Here is a 17,426-nt window from a genome sequence, read left to right on the forward strand (position 1 = left end):
CAGGCTGGTCTTGAACTCCTGACCTCAAATGATCCACCTGCCTCAGCCTCTCAAAGTCCTGGGATTACAGGTGTGAGCCACACCTGGCTTTTTAATTTTTTTTAACTTTTGTTTTAAGTTCAGGAGTACATGTGCAGGTTTTTTTTTTTTTTAACATAGATAAACTTGTGTCATGGGCATTTCTTATTTCATCACTGAGTTATTAAGCTTAGTACCCATTAGTTATTTTTCCCAATTATCTGCTTCTTCCCACCCTCCAACCTCTAATAGGGTCCCAGTGTGTGTTTTTCCCATCTCTGTGCCCATATGTTCTCATTATTTAGCTCCCACTTAATAAGTGAAAACATGTGGTATTTGGTTTCCTGTTCCTGTGTTCATTTGCTAAGGATAAAGGCCTCCAGCTCCATCCATGTCCCTGAAAAGGATACAACCTCATTCTTTTTATGGCTGCATAGTATTCCATAGTGTGTATGTACCACATGTTATTTATCCAGTCTATCATTGGTGGGCATTTATGTTGATTCCATGTCTCTGCTATTGTGAATAGTGCTGCAATGAACATACGCATGCATGTGTCTTTATAATAGAACAATTTATACTCCTTTGGGGATATACCTAGTAATTGTTGGGTGGAATGGTATTTCTGTCTTTAGGTATTTGAGGAATTGCCACACTATCTTCCATAATTGTTGAACTAATTTACATTCCCACCAACAGTCTATAAATATTCCATTTTTTTTCACAACCTCACCAGCACCTGTTATTTTTTGACTTTTTAATAATAGCAATTCTGACTGGGGTGAGATGGTATCTCATTGTGGTTTTGATTTCATTTCTCTAATGGTCAATGATGTTGAGCTTTTCTTCATATTCTCATTGGCCACATGTATGTCTTCTTTTGAAAACTGTCTATGTCTGCCCAATTTTTAATGGGGTTGTTTTTTTCTTGTAAATTTGTTTAAGTTCCTTAGAGATGCTGGATATTAGACCTTTGTCAGATGCATAGTTTACAAAAATTTTTCTCCCATTCTGTAGGTTGTCTGTTTACTCTGATGATAGTTTCTTTTGCTGTACAGAAGCTCTTTAATTTAATTAGATCTCATTTGTCAATTTTTGCTTTTGTTGCAATTGCTTTTAGCATCTTCATCATGAAATCTTTGCCCATGCCTATGTTTTGAATGGTATTGCCTAGGCTGTCTTCAAGGAATTTTATAGTTTTGGGTTTTATATTTAAGTCATTAATCCATCTTGAGTTAATTTTTGCATATGGTATAAGGAAGGGGTCCAATTTCAATCTTCTGCATTTGGCTAGCCAGTTAACCCAGCACCATTTATTGAACAGGGAATCCTTTCCCCATTTCTTGTTTTTGTCAGGTTTGTCAAAGATAAGATAGTTGTAGGTGTGCAGCCTTATTTCTGGGCTCCCTATTCTGCTCCATTGGTCTATGTGGCTGTTTTTGTGTCAGTACCATGCTGTTTTGGTTACTTCAACTCTGTAGTATAGTTTGAAGTTGGGTAGTGTGATGCCTCTGGCTTTATACCTTTTGCTTAGGATTGTGTCAGCTGTTTGGGCTTTTGTTGTGTTTTGTTTTATATAAAGTTTAAAATAGATTTTTCTAGTTATATGAAGAATCTCAACAGTAGTTTAATAAGAATAGCATTGAATTTATAAATTGCTTTGGGCACTATGGCCATTTTAATGATATTGATTATTCATATCCACGAGCATGGAATGTTTTCCCATTTGTTTGTGTCATCTCTGATTTATTTGAGCCATGTTTTGCAGTTCTCCTAATAGAGATCTTTCACCTCCCTAGTTAGGTGTATTCCTAGACATTTTATTCTTTTTGTGGCAATTGTGAATGGGGCTACATTCCTGTTTTGGCTCTTGACTTGACTGTTGCTGGTGTATAGAAATGCTCATGATTATTGCACATTGATTTTGTATCCTGAGACTTTGCTGAACTTGTTTATCAGCTTAAGAAGCATTTAGGCTGAGACTATGGGGTTTTCTAGATATAGGATCATGTCATCTGCAAATTAGGATATTTTGACTTCCACTCTTCCTGTTTGGATGTCTTTTATTTCTTTCTTTTGCCTGATTGTCCTGGCCAGGATGTCCAATACTATTTTGAATAGGAGCAGTGAGAAAGGGTATCTTTGTTTTGTGCCAGTTGTCAAAGGGAATGCTTCCAGCTTTTGCCCATTCAGTATGATGTTGGCTGTGGATTTGTTTATATGACTCTTATAATTTTGAGGTATGTTCCTTCAATAACGAGTTTATTGGGACTTTTTAACATGAATGAAAGTTGAATTTTATTGAAAGCATTTTCTACATATATTGAGATAATTATGTGGTTTTTGTCTTTAGCTCTGTTAATGTGATGAATCACATTTATTTATTTGTATATGTTGAACCAACCTTGCATCCCAGAAATAATGCCTACTTGATCATGGTGAACAAGTTGTTGATATGCTGATGGATTCTGTTTGCCAGTATTTTGCTGAGGATTTTTACATTGATATTCATCAAGAATATTGGCCTGAAGCTTTTTTTTCTGTATCTCTGGGAGGATTTGGTATAAGGATGATGCTGGCCTCCTACAATGAGTTAGGGAGGAGCCCCTAGTCCTCAATATTTTGGAATAGTTTCAGTAGGAATTGTACCAGCTCTTCTTTGTACATCTGGTGAAATTCAGCTGTGAATCCATCTGGTCCTGGGCTTTTTTTCTTTTTCTTTTTTTTTTTTAGTTAGTAGACTATTTATTACTGCCTCAATTTCAGAGCTCATTATTGGTCTTTTCAGGGATTAAACGCATTCCTGTTTCAGTCTTGGGAGGGTGTGTATTAGTCTCTTCTCATGTTGCCAATAAAGACATACCCGACACTGGGTAATTTATAAAGGAAAGAAGTTTGACTCCCAGTTCAGCATAGCTGGGGAGGCCTCACGAAACTTATAAGCATGGCAGAAGCGGAAGCAAGCATATCCTCCTTCATGTGGCAGCAGGAAGAATGAGTGGACAGTGGACTGGAATCCACTTATAAAACCTCATGAGAACTAACTCACTATCACAAGAACAGAATGGGGGAAACCGCACCCCTGATTCAGTTATTTCCACCTAGTCCCTCCTATAACATGTGGGGATCATGGGAACCACAATTAAAGATGAGATTTGGGTGGAGACACAGTCAAACCATATTATTCCCCTCCTGTCCTCTCCCAATTCTCCTGTCCTTATAATTCAAAACACAAGTATGCCCTTCCAACAGTCCTCCAAAGTCTTAACTCATTCCAGCATTAACTCAAAAGTCCAAGTCCAAAGTCTCATCTGAGACCAGGCAAGTCCCTTCTGTATATGAGCCTGTAAAATCAAAAGCAAGTTAGTTACTTCCTAGATAAAATGGGGTACAGGCACTGGGTAAGTACACCCATTCCAAATAGGAGAAATTGGCCAAAACAAAGGGCCTACAGGCCCCATGCAATTCTGAAATCCAATAAGGTAATTTTTAACCTTAAAGTTCCAAAATGATCTCTTTTAACTCCATCTCTCAAATCCATGTAATGCTGATTCAAGAGGTGGGCTCCCAGGGTTTTGAACAGTTCTGCCCATGTGGCTTTGAAAGGTACAATTCCCCTCCCAGCTGCTTTCACAGGCTAGTGTTGAGTGTCTGTGGCTTTTCCAGGTGTACGGTGCAAGCTGTCAGTAGATCTACCATTCTGGGGTCTGGAGGATGGTGGGCTTATTCTCACAGCTCCACCAGGCAGTGCCCCAGTGGGAACTCTGTGTGGTGGCTCCAACCCCAGATTTCCCTTCTGCACTGACCTGGCAGAGGTTCTCCATGAGGGCTCCACCCCTGCAGCAGGTTTCTGCCTGGGCATCCAGGCATTTCTATACGTCCTCTGAAATCTAGGCAGAGGTTCCCAAACCTCAATTCTTGTATGCTACACACTGCAGGACAAACACCACATGGAAGTTGCCAGGGCTTGGGGTTTGCACCCTCTGAAGCTACAGCCCTAGCTGTACCTTGGCCCCTTTTAGCCATGGCTGGAGCAGCTGGGATACAGGGAACCAAGTCCCCATGGCACAGAGCAGGGGGGCCCTGGACTCAGCTCAGGAAACCTTTTTTCCCTCCTTGGCCTCCAGGCCTGTGATGGAAGGGTCTGCCATTAAGGTCTCTGACATATCCTGGAGACATTTTCCCCATTGTCTTGGTGATTAGTGTCTGGCTCCTCGCTACTTATGCAAATTTCTGCATTAGGCTTGACTTTCTCCCCCACGAAGTGGGTTTTCTTTTCTACTGCCTCATCAGGCTGCAAATTTTCCAAACTTTTATGCTCTATCAACTCTTGAATGTCTTGCTGCTTGTAAATTTCTTCCTCCAGTTACCCTAAATCATCTCTCATAAATTCAATGTTCCACAGATCTCTAGGTCAGGGGTAAAAAATCCACCAGTCTCTTTGCTAAAGCATACCAAGATTCACCTTTATTCCAGTTCCCAACAAGTTCCTCATCTCCATCCGAGACCACCTCAGCCTGGATTTCATTGTCTATATTGTTGTCAGCATTTTGGTCAAAGCCATTCAATAAGTCTCTAGGAAGGTCCAAACTTTCCCACATCTTCCTGTCTTCTGAGCCCTCCAAGTCTCTAGGGAGTTCCAAACTTTCCCACATTTCCCTATCTTCTTCTGAGCCTTCCAAATGGTTCCAACCTCTGCCTGTTACCCAGTTCCAAAGTTGCTTCCACATTTTTTGGTATCATTATAGCAGCACCCCATTCTCCCAGCACCAATTTACTGTATTAGTCCATGCTCACACTGCTAACAAAGACTCACCTGAGACTGGGTCATTTATAAGATAAGAGGTTTAATTGACTCACAGTTCAGCTTGGCTGGGAGGCCTCAGGAAACTTACAATTGTGGTGGAAGGGGAAGTAAACATGTCCTTCTTCATATGGCAGCAGGAAGGAGAAGAATGAGTCCCCAGTGAAAGGGAAAGCCTCTTATAAAACCATAAAAGCTCATGAGAACTAACTTACTATCATGAGAACAGGATGGGGGAAACCATCCTTATGATTTAATTATCTCCACCTGGCCCCTCCCATGACCTGTGGGGATCATGGGAACTACAATTCAAGATGAGATTTGAGTGGGGACACAGCCAAACCATATCAGGTGAATGTGTACAGGAATTTACCCATTTCTTCCAGATTTTCTAGATTGTGTGCATAGAGGTGTTCATAATATTCTCTGATGGTTGTTTGTATTTCTGTGAGGTGACTGGTAATATCCGCCTTGTCATTTCTGATTGTGTTTATTTGAATCTTTTCTCTTTTGTTCTTTATTATTCTAGCTAGAAGTCTGTCTATTTTATCAAATTTTTTTCAAAATATCAGCTCCTGGATTCTTTGATACTTTGAATGTATTTTCATTTCTCAATCTTATTCAGTTCAGTTCTGATTTTTGTTATTTCTTATTTTCTGCTACCTTTTGGATTTCTTTGCACTTGATTCTCTAGCTCTTTCAGTTGTGATATTAGGTTGTTAACTTGAGATCTTTCTAACTTTTTGATGTGTGCATTTTCTTCTATAAATTTCCCTTTTAACATCACCTTAGCTGTGTCCTGTAGATTCTGATATGTGGTATCTTTGTTCTCAAAAGTAAATAATGATATTATTTACCAAAAAGTAAATTACTTTTACCAAATAGTAAACAATGAAATTCAGAAGGAAGTCATTCAATTTACTTGTAATTGCATGGTTTTGAGTGAATTTCTTAGTCTTGATTTGAATTTGATTGTGCTGTGGTCCAAGAGATTGTTAGTTATCATTTCAATTATTCTACATTTGCTGAGGAGTATTTCACTTCTGAATGTGACCAATTTTAGAGTATGTGCCATGTGGTAATAAGAAGAATGTATATTCTGTTGTTTTGGGGTGAAGAGTTCTGTAGATATCTATCAGGTCCATTTGATCCAGGGCTGAGTTCAGGTCCTGAATACCTTTGTTGATTTTCTGTCTCAGTGATCTGTCTAATATTTTCAATGGGATGTTAAAGTATCCCATTATTATTGTGTGGAAGTCTAAGTCTCTTTGAAGGTCTCTAAGAATTTGCCTTATGAATCTGAGTGCTCCTGTGTTGGGTACATATATATTTAGGATAGTTAGATCTTCTTGTTGAATTGAACCCTTTACCATTATGTAATGCCCTTTTTGGTCTTTTTTGATCTTTGTTGGTCTAAAGCCTATTTTGTTAGAAACTAGAATTGCAACCCCTGCTTTTTCCTGTTTTCCATTTGCTTGGTATATTTTTTCTCCACACATTTCTTTTAAACCTATGTGTGTCATTGCATGTGAGATGGATTTCTTGAAGACAGCAGCCCAATGGGTCTTAGTTCTTTATCCAGCTTACCTCTCTATGCCTTTTATTTGGAGTATTTAGCCCATTTACACTTAAGGTTATTATTGACATCTGTGGATTTGATCCTGTCATCATGTTAGCTGGTTATTTTGCAGACTTGTTTATGTGGTTGCTTTACAGTGTCACTGGTATGTGTCCTTCAGTGTGTTTTCGTAGTGGCTGGTAATGGTCTTTCCTTTCCATGTTTAGTGCTTCCTTCAGAAGCTCTTATAAGGCAGGTCTTGTGGTAACAAATTCCGTCAGCATTTGCTTGTCAGAAAAGAATCTTATTTCTCCTTCTCTTATGAAGCTTAGTTTAGCTGGATATGAAATTCTGGGTTAAAAGTTTTTTTTTTAAGAATGTTGAATATTGGTCCCCAATCTCTTCTATCTTACAGGGTTTCAGCTAAGAGGTCTGCTGTTAGTCTGATGGGCTTCCCTTCGTAGGTGACCAGAACTTTCTCTCTAGCTGCCTTTAACATCTTTTCTTTCATTTAGATGTTGGAGAATCATGATTATGTGTGTTGGGGATGATCTTGTGAAGTAGCTTACTGGGGTTCTCTGTGTTTCCTGAATTTGAATGTTGGCTTGTCTAGCTAGTTTGGGGAAGTTCTCATGGAAAACATCCTGAAATAAGTCTTCCAAGTTGGTTCCATTCTCCCCATCTCTTTCAGGGACACCAATAAGTCATAGATTCATAACACCAAGAGTCACAGATTCATATCTTTACATAATCCCATATTTTTTGGAGGTTTTCTTCATTCTTTTTCATTCTCTTTTCTCTATTCTTGTCTGCCTGTCTTATTTCAGAAAGCCAATCTTCACGCTATGAGAGTGTTTCCTCCACTTGGTCTATTCTGCTATGAATACTTGTGATTGCATTATTAAATTCTTGTGTTTTTTAGCCCTATCTGGTCAGTTACATTCTTATTTTTACTGGTTATTTGTCTGCCAACTCCTGCATTGTTTTACCATAATTTTTAGCTTCATTGCATTGGGTTTCAACATACTCCTGTAGCTCAGTGAATTTCTTTCCTATCTATATACCGAATTCTATTTTCTGTCATTTCAGCCATCTTAGCTCAGTTCAGAACCCTTGCCAAAGCAGTGATGCAGTTGTTTGGATGAAAGAAAGCACTCTGCATTTTTTAGTTTTCAGACTTCTTGTGCTGATTTGTTCTCATCTTTGTGGGTTTATCTACCTTCAATCTTTGAGGTTGCTGATTTTTGGATTTTTTTCTTTTATTCTATTGGACAACCTTGGAGATTTAATTGTGGTATAAGGTGGATTCAGCTGACTGACTTTGTCTCTGGGAGATTTTAGGGGGCCAACCCTCAGCTCCCAACTGCTAGACTGCATGCTCCAACTCTGGGGGACTCATATTCGGCCCCAACTTTATTATCTGGCTCTTCAAGGTTTGGAGTCCACTGTGCTGGGAGGGCCAAGGTGCAGCAGCTGCAGCAGAGTGCTAGCAGACGCAGGGCTGCCTGCCATCCTGTGGGCATCCACCACAGTGGTGGGGGCAATGCAACCAGGGGGTACAGAGGGCCCCTGCTGGAGCCTATGTGTGCTGTTGCACTAGAAGTGGTGTTGGCTTGGGGCAGGATGCTGACTAGCTCAGGCCTGGGTGCCTTCTCCATGCCCTGCAAGCAGGATCACTCAGGGCATAGAAGGATCCATTGTTGTCTGCACAGTGTTAGTGCAAAAGCAGGGCTCTGGTGAGGGTGGGGCTTGCTGGCTCTGTGCCAGCCAAGGCTCCCTGCAATGGTGGTTAGTGAGTGAAGGGGAGTGGACTGCACTCTTGCATCCTGATGGGCAAAGTAATGCAAAACCCACCTGTGAAGACACACACCAGCAAAGTGATATGAGGAATTGATGTGGGCTTGGGGAAAGCTGCAGTATGGGGAGGGGGCATACAGGCTGGTGTGAGGCCATAGGGGCTGGCTCACTGGAGCTCTGTGCCAGTCAGGTAAGGTCTGCCAGTACAGAAGCTATGGTGTGGGCCCCCCGGGCACCCAAAACTGCTCTGTAAGCTGGCATGACCAGGCTGGGGCCCTGGGAGAGGCCAGGAGACCAAGGGGTGCTCAGGTCAGTCCAACCCCGTCTGATGTCCAAGACCACCCTGCGGAGATCAGAACTGACAATTCCCCTAGGGCTAAAGTCTCCTATGAGAGCAATTTGAGCTTAGGGGGATGGCTGTCCCTGACCGTGCTCCACTACAGACACTCCTGCACCAAACCCTCTGGGCTTCACATCAGCTGGCTTGCCATCCCACCACTTCTCTAGGCAGCTCTTGCTGCTACCTCAAGTGTCATGTGGTGGTCGAGGGTTCCCCTCCTGCCGGGGTTCTAGAGGCCTGTGGCAAGAAAGAGTTTCTCCTTGCCAATTGAACTCACCAGTTCCCCTGGAGCTGTTGTGGTTCAAAAATGAGTCCCAGTGTGCAATGGCCCATGCAAGGTCGGTGCCTTTCCTCTGAAGATCTGAAAGTTCTGGCCTTTTTCCAGCAGCTCTAGGCATCTATCCAAGCCAGTATTACCAAGATGACTGAGAGTTCTTGACTCAAGCCTACAGAAGACACTCACTTTGCCTCTTTTAATTTTCAAAATAATTCTGTGCAGATATAATTACATTAATTTTACAATGCAAATATTAATGCCCATGTTAGTTGCTTATGGATACTAAACTAGCTTAAAAAAATACCAGATCTTCTCACAACCAATTCAGTACTTATCTCCTATCAACTAAATAATTCCACTTCACTGTCTAAAACATTTATAGGATTTCTTTAAAATTCCATTTTAAGCCTAAAGGCTTAATAAAGTACACATATATTTTGGAAAGTATATACACAAGCTCTCTTATAGCCTCCTATCCTTACCAGGGAGGTAAATTAAATCCCTGGACCACTGGAACTTAGATTCAGTGAAAGGACTTTTCAGGCCATACAGTGATATTGGGCTAGCCCAATGCCCTTCTTTCTCAAAAGGAAAACAAGCCCAAGAAGGTGAAAAGATATGCTCTGGATCCTCACATGGCCATTTCCTTACAGAAAATAAGAATTCTAAATATCCTCCCATGCCTAATATGACTGAGATTTAGGAAGAGATTTGAGAAGATATTTGCAACATATATTACTCGTGACATAGAAACAAGAGCTCATTACTTTTTCCAGCTAACTCATCCCCAATCACCAATATCTTTTTGATGAGTAGTGTAAAAAAAAAAACCAACAACAAGAAATTGTTGATGCTTTAAACTACTCTTCAAACAAAGTTTTAAAGCTATAGAGAGAATGGATATTAGCCCTTTGTCAGATGAGTAGATTGCAAAAATTTTCTCCCATTCTGTAGGTTGCCTGTTCACTCTGATGGTGGTTTCTTTTGCTGTGCAGAAGCTCTTTAGTTTAATTAGATCCCGTTTGTCAATTTTGGCTTTTGTTGCCATTGCTTTTGGTGTTTTAGACATGAAGTCCTTGCCCATGCCTATGTCCTGAATGGTATTGCCTAGGTTTTCTTCTAAGGTTTTTATGGTTTTAGGTCTAACATTTAAGCCTTTAATCCATCTTGAATTAATTGTTGTATAAGGTGTAAGAAAGGGATCCAGTTTCAGCTTTCTACATACGGCTAGCCACTTTCCCCAGCACCATTTGTTAAATAGGGAATCCTTTCCCCATTTCTTGTTTTTGTCAGGTTTGTCAAAGATGAGACAGCTGTAGATGTGTGGTATTATTTCTGAGGGCTCTGTTCTGTTCCATTAGTCTATATCTCTGTTTTGGTACCAGTACCATGCTGTTTTGGTTACTGTAGCCTTGTAGTATAGTTTGAAGTCAGGTAGCCTGATGCCTCCAGCTTTGTTCCTTTGGCTTAGGATTGACTTGGCAATGAGGGCTCTTTTTTGGTTTCATATGAACTTTAAAGTAGTTTTTTTCCAATTCTGTGAAGAAAGTCATTGGTAGCTTGATGGGGATGGCATTGGGCTAATATCCAGAATCTACAAAGAACTCAAACAAATTTACAAGAAAAAAACAAACAACCCCATCAAAAAGTGGGTGAAGGATACGAACAGACACTTCTCAAAAGAAGACATTTATGCAGCCAACAGACACATGAAAAAATGCTCATCATCACTGGCCATCAGAGAAATGCAAATCAAAACCACAATGACATATCATCTCACACCAGTTAGAATGGCAATCATCAAAAAGTCAGGAAACAACAGGTGCTGGAGAGGATGTGGAGAAATAGGAACACTTTTACACTGTTGGTGGGACTGTAAACTAGTTCAACCATTGTGGAAGACAGTGTGGTGATTCCTCAGGGATCTAGAATTAGAAATACCATTTGACCCAGCCATACCATTACCATTTTGGGTATACTGGGTATATACCCAATGGAATATAAATCATGCTGCTATAAAGACACATGCACACGTACATTTATTGCGGCACTACTCACAATAGCAAAGACTTGGAACCAACGAAAATGTCCATCAATGATAGACTGGATTAAGAAAATGTGGCACATATACACCATGGAATACTATGCAGCCATAAAAAATGATGAGTTCATGTCCTTTGTAGGGGCATGGATGAAGCTGGAAACCATCATTCTCAGCAAACTATCACAAGGACAAAAAACCAAACACCGCATGTTCTCACTCATAGGTGGGAACTGAACAATGAGAACACTTGGACACAGGAAGGGGAACATCACACACTAGGGCCTGTTGTGGGGTGGGGGGAGGGGGGAGGGATAGCGTTAGGAGATATACCTAATGTAAATGACAAGTTAATGGGTGCAGCACACCAACATGGCACATGTATACATATGTAACAAACCTGCATTTTGTGCACATGTACCCTAGAACTTAAAAAGTATAATAAATATATATATATTTAAAAATAAAGAAATACATAAAAATAAATAAATAAAGCTAATGAGAGAATTTGCCTGGTTGAGTGTGAAACTGAGCCCCACTGAGCTGTATTACAAGAGCCAAAGGTCCTCCCCTACAGGATTTTACTGTGACTGCCTATCAAAACTCACTTAATTAATGCCACTTACATTCTATGTAGACTTTTCAAGCAAAAATAAATTTCATCTAATGATTTTTTAAAGCTCCAATAGCCTTCACATCTACACAAATATCAGTGCTAAAAAACAGTTAATCAAGGGATATGAACCGAGTCTGAGACCATCACTGTCAAATCTTTGTTCATGGAAGCAGGTGGAGTTAGGGCAGATACGCCAGACATTCTTCCTTACTAAAAGCATCTAGTCCCACTGCCTGATACAAAGTGAGTTCTTAACAACTTTTCCTTTACTTCTGCTTAAGTAGCTTTATCCTACCTGCTTCCTGCAACTTTATCATCATGTATATAGTAATGGGCTTGTTGGTAGGGATGTATTTTCAGGCCAAGGAAAGGTTGGGAGACAAGAGGAGAAGGATGAAGATTAGTTATGTAGTTAATTGTACAGATAGCCTTATTCCCTTTAAGTTTTAAGATAGTCAAGAAAAATATTTGAAGGATGATTAATATTAACAGGAAAAAAGGGAAAGAGAATCAGTAAATAAACAAAAAGGAGAGAGATGATGACAATGACCACGAGTTCTTGACCAATAATATTAATAACCATCTATTCAGGGCTCCTATTTGCTAAGTGCCGAATACATTCTTATCTCTATCAGGTACTCATAGACTCATTTTGCAAGTGAGAAAAGGGGTTGAGTGGAGGGCCACAGAACTGGAATGTTTTTGGAGTTGGGATTTGCCTACATGCTTTCCACCATTCCATTATTCCCAAGGCTTTTTAGAAAAACAGAAGTGGCTAGATAAAGGGGAGAAAAAAGGAAAAGGAAGGTATTTAGTTCTCCATTTGTACTCCTCTGGCCTCCTGCTGGTCATTTCAGTCAGGGGATGATATGGAGACCCTGGTAAGTCCCATTCAGGCACCCACCCCCCCAAAAAAAGTAGCTGTTCGTGTTCATTATTCATGTTGAAATTGATAAAGAAACCAAGGGTTTTAATCACAGCAAAGAGAAACTGTTATTCTTTAGCTAACAGTACTCAGCTAATGCTGGACCAAAATTATAGGAAAATATATATAGCATAAATGAGTCATAAAAACTTTGAGAGTCACATGAATGTATGAACATTCTCCACAGGCCTTGTTTATGTAATCATGTATCTACTTACATGGGTGTGTTTATCTTAGCTTTTCCATGTGGAACCCAGCTTGCTGTAGACCCAATCTCTTTCTAAACAGTGAGTAATCAAAAGGAATTCATCTGTGAGTAACTTCACACATTTATTATAAGATGTTAGAGTGAGGAACAAGGTGGTTTAAATGATAGCATAAAGTAACACAATTCCCAGAGTTTTAAGTCCAGAAAAAATTCAAGAGTCAGGTCTGTGGTGAATCTCTCAAGCAATAAAGAAAATGCTTTCGTTTATAGACCAATTGACATCAGAACTTGGAGAAAAGAATCATTTCACTTTATAATGCTGGAATTTGAAAGATATGGCATTAGAAATTGACAAAGTCTTTTTATGTTTAATTTTATTTAAAATCTCCATCTTCCAGGGAAAACAACCAGGTTTCAAGTGTCATTGTAAAAATTGACATGCCCTATGTTTGATTTGCTATGTAAATCACACTCCCAAACAAACATTTTCTGACAGTTCAAACTCATCGTGGCAGCTCCCAAGCAGAGAGGTCAACTAATAAGAGATAGTCTCTTCCCTTTTTTATGCTAGCTGTAAAATATTCTGGGTATCACCCCTGCATACATTCCAAACCTAGAAGCATACTATGTGTTTCAAATTTATCTAGACTTAGATATCTGTCTAGATATGGTAGTCATTAGCCAAACAAGGCTAAATTAATTAAATCCAACAAAATTAAGAATTCCATATTCCTGTCTCACTAGCCATATTTCAAGTGTTCCATTGTCATATGGGGCTAGTGGCTATTGTATTTATTGGCACATGGTTATAGAATATTTCTATCATTGCAAAAAAAAATTTTCTTCATCAGTGCTTCTCTAGACAAGTATCTTCCCTTCACAAAGATGGAAATCTGTTTTTAAAGATACCTTGTTGGAAGGGAGAACAAGAAAGCAATCACCTTACTTCCTCTCCTACAATTTAAGAACATGAGACTCAAGAGGTTAACTGGCTTTGTTAAACTCAACACCAGTTAATGAGAGAACCAAGACTAAAGTCCACCTTTCTTGCATCATGCTCATTCCCAGGCTATTCACAGGGTCGTTTCATTAAATGCTATGAATAAATGGTATATTTGAATGGCCAAGATATTTTCCAACCATCTTCAGTTCCTGACTCCTATAAGATGAAATTTTCACAAGTCTCCAGGCTCTTTCATTTCTATTTCTACTTCTCTAGGTATATACCACCATCACCACTATCATCCTTTCCTCCTCTTCAAACTCAAATCCAAGTTAGCATAAACTCTCCTGTAAGCTCCTTTCTAGGGTTTTCTAAGCCAAAACCCAGACTCTCTCCCATAAATCCATGGTTCCAGATCTCATGCTCCCAACCCCAATCCTCAAGCTGGTAGCCTAAACCAGTCATATCCTGGGAACCTGCCCACCCACTACATCCCTATACAGCCCTTCTGGTAGCTTCACCTCAGACTTTTGAGCAGAGGCCTATTCTGAGTCCCTGAACAGTATTGATGGAGGGGTGATTCCCTGGACAATTTTCTAGGTAGTCACTTCCTATCCCAAGCAGCAAAGAAGGGAATGAATCTCAGGCCTGTGAAAACCATGCTGCCACTGTGCAGCAGCTTCTTGGGGGTAAGAGATAATATCCTCACTTGTCTCTTAGGTCGTTCCATAGGCTAAAGCTGGCCTAGCCAAGAACTTGTATCAGGTACTGTGAAATTATGAAAAGTTGTTTCATTGTCTATCTTCAAGTAATATAAATGAGAGAGTAGGTTTTATTTTCATAAAATTAAAGATTACAGAAATGTTGTTCAAATTAGAGCTTAATCACACAGGAAAGAATGCTTAAAAATAAGTTCCAGATACATACACACTCCAGAAGGGTTATGATGTTTGCACTTTGGGAAAAACTTAAAAAAAGAATGCTTTTTATAGTTGTCTGTAAGAGCCTTTTCTTTGCCAACAAAACCTTTAAAAATTATTGTTATTCATTCCTATGCTTTTGAATGGTAATTTATATTCAGCATATCTGAAATAATCACAGTTAAAAGGAAATACCAAAATTGGAGTCAAAGCCATCTCCTCCAGGAAACAGAATGTCAAATACCTTGGAGTCAGTGGTAGGAGAAATAAAACCCCATCTCCTTCAGCCAAAAACATTACATAGAAACATAGACATAGAAGCGGAGGAAGAAAGGCACAAATGTAGAAGACATACTTTGGCCTTCATTCTATGAAGCTCCTGCTTCTACCACCCACACATCAGACCAAGACACACCTTTAAATATGTAGGGAGGGAGGGGAAAATTTTGTCTTGTCGGAGCTCACAGTCAGTTGCCCAAGGCTGAACATGAATAACCACTCCAAGACATGCACTGACAACCCACATTTCCTGCCTTTGGTGTCAGCAACCAGAGACAGAAGGTATTTATTTGCCTACTTCTCAAATTACCAGCTGCTTGATCTTCCACAAAGTACTGAGTCTTGAAGAATCCGTGTTTCTATTTGTAGCAAGGTCACGATAATACTAAGCTCACAGGAATTTTATAATAATTAAATGAGATAATGTATGCAGAACGCCTGGCACAGGGAGGACCTCCCCACACAACAGCTGACATTCCTTTTTGCAATTATATGCCCTTGACAAAGGTAAGGTGCCATTAGCAACCCTCACCATCTAGTCTTTGTTTGTGTAGAAATAACCACATTTGGAGCATTTAGAAGGTCCACGCTATTTCCCAATGGGTGCAGATGACATTTGACTAGACACAATATCTGGCCTTGTACCCCTTTCTAATCTCCAAACTTTCAACTCCCAATCCAAGCCAGCACTACTGAGCCCTCAGGAACTTCATAAAAAAGAGGAAGTCATTCTTTCCCAGTTTGTAATCCCTCTGCCAGGCCCCAACTTTATCACTTGATGATTAAGAACAGCTCTCTCTGCACCCCAGACTCTACCCAACTCTAATATAACTTGCTATCTGCACCTTCCCAAATCCCCAGTTTTTTGCAAGTGCGCATTATAGTCCACACCAATGTTTCTGTGCCTTCAGGAAAACACCAGACTCCTCTACCAAAGAAGCTTTACAGTTAGCTTGACTTATTTACCATATCAACACAAAACGCAGCCATCAGAGGACTCACAGAAAGAATACAAATACCTAATGTGGATGACGGGTTGATGGGTGCAGCAAACCACCATGGCACATGTATACCTATGTAACAATCCTGCACGTTCTGCACATGTATCCCAGAACTTAAAGTGTAATAAATATATATACATATACAGCAAAAAGAAAAAAAGTAAAGAATACTTAGTCTCTTTCATTTGCAAGTGCAAGTGGAGACAGAAGGAGAAAGGCCTAAGGGAGGATATGAGTGGCAAGTGATACTTATTTTCAGGGTCAAATTTCAGGGCCTCTGGTATAAACCTTGAGGTGAGTTGAGTGGAACAGAGACATCTGCTACTTACCAGCTGTGAAACATTGGGTAAACTAATTAAATATTTTTATCATTAGTTTTCTCATCTGTGTAAAGAAGAGAAAAGTAGCTCTCAGAGTTGTTGGGATGGTTAAATGAGATAAAATATTCTAAATAAATGAGAGCAATTACTGTCAGTATCTGCATGCCAGCACTACTACTTGGAAAAATCAGAAGTTTTGCTTCTGTTGCAGTTGGTACTCTGAAGTGCCATGCTCTTGGCAGGGGTAGAGATAACAAGGATAAGAACCTCACAGCTCCTCTCAGATACTTGTGCCAATTTCGCAGTAAAGATGATCAGGATCAAGTGGTGATTACCTCACAGTAATTCTGCACTTGGCTGCCCATTAAAACCATCTGAGAGCTTTAAAAATTCCTGATGCCCAGATGATACCCTGTGCCAATTCTCAGAATCTCTGGGAGGAGAACCCAGGCATAAGTAATTTTTAAAGGCGATGCTAATATGCAGCCAACAGTGAAAACTGTTAAAATCATTAAATGGGAGCCATTAGACTGAGGTGATTCTCACACCCTGAGTTCCTACCTAAGCAAATAGAAACCTAGCTCAGATTCATTTCCTGTAAGGGGCTAATTTAAAAGAAAACAAAACTTCAGCTCAGCCAATCACAGGAGGCCAACTAACCACTACTTATATTGTCTGGACCTTCCCACCAGGACAGTCCAAGTAAGGCAATTGCTCAAACTTTAACCAATCGAATAATTTATTTGCTCTACTTCCACATTCAACCTATTAAATCCTTCCCTTTGTGCCTCTTGGACAGAGCCCTAAATCACTTCCAGTTTGGAGCTGACTGATTCATGAATTGCTATCTGCTCAAATAAACTCTTTAAAATGTTAACATGCCAAAGTTTATCTTTTAAGAGAACCATAGTTTCAGTGTCTGCCTTAGGAGGATAATACTCTTATTGGGGTTTCTAGGGCTTTCTGTTTGTAGCTCTATTATCATACCTGCCCCCTTCTAGGTAATCATTTTTAAGTGTGCTCCAGTGAATGCATATACCCTCACAAGACTGCTCAAGAACAGGGACCATGGTTTATTCATCTTTGTACTACCAGTGGTGGTAATATGTAATAATGATAATGGTGATGGAAGCCAGCTTTCATGGAGCACTAGCTCTCTGTGCCTGGCATTGGGCTATGCTGTTAAAAAACATTCTCTCATTTAATTCTCTCAACAAACTGTGGGGTAAAATGCTATTGTTTACCTCATTTTACACCTGAGGAAACTGAGGCACTTACAGTGTATAAAACTTGCTCAAAGCTATACAGGTAGTCTGATGGCAGAGCTTATACTGTTTTCCATGAAGTTATAGAAACCTCCATACCATAGTGTGGCCTTA

General features: G+C 39.9%; 1 protein-coding gene and 1 long non-coding RNA gene across 6 annotated transcripts in view, besides 1 other annotated feature; one reads left to right on the plus strand and one right to left on the minus strand.

Annotated features, from left to right (window-relative positions):
* KCNMB2-AS1 (KCNMB2 antisense RNA 1) overlaps window positions 1-17,426 on the minus strand; it is a 334,939-nt gene that overhangs the window by 165,689 nt on the left and 151,824 nt on the right. The window lies entirely within an intron of this gene.
* The window catches only part of KCNMB2 (potassium calcium-activated channel subfamily M regulatory beta subunit 2), a 307,994-nt gene that overhangs the window by 154,720 nt on the left and 135,848 nt on the right, over window positions 1-17,426 (plus strand). The gene's annotated exons all lie outside the window — the stretch shown is intronic.
* Window positions 16,527-16,736: an enhancer, noted in NCBI's record as "active region_20855". NCBI's record gives its function as "activates an Ori minimal core promoter by ATAC-STARR-seq in GM12878 lymphoblastoid cells {active_cell/tissue: GM12878}" and the evidence as "EXISTENCE:reporter gene assay evidence [ECO:0000049][PMID:35858748]".

The sequence above is a fragment of the Homo sapiens genome, chromosome 3, assembly GCF_000001405.40.
Source record: "Homo sapiens chromosome 3, GRCh38.p14 Primary Assembly".
In the NCBI taxonomy this organism is placed as follows: domain Eukaryota; kingdom Metazoa; phylum Chordata; class Mammalia; order Primates; family Hominidae; genus Homo; species Homo sapiens.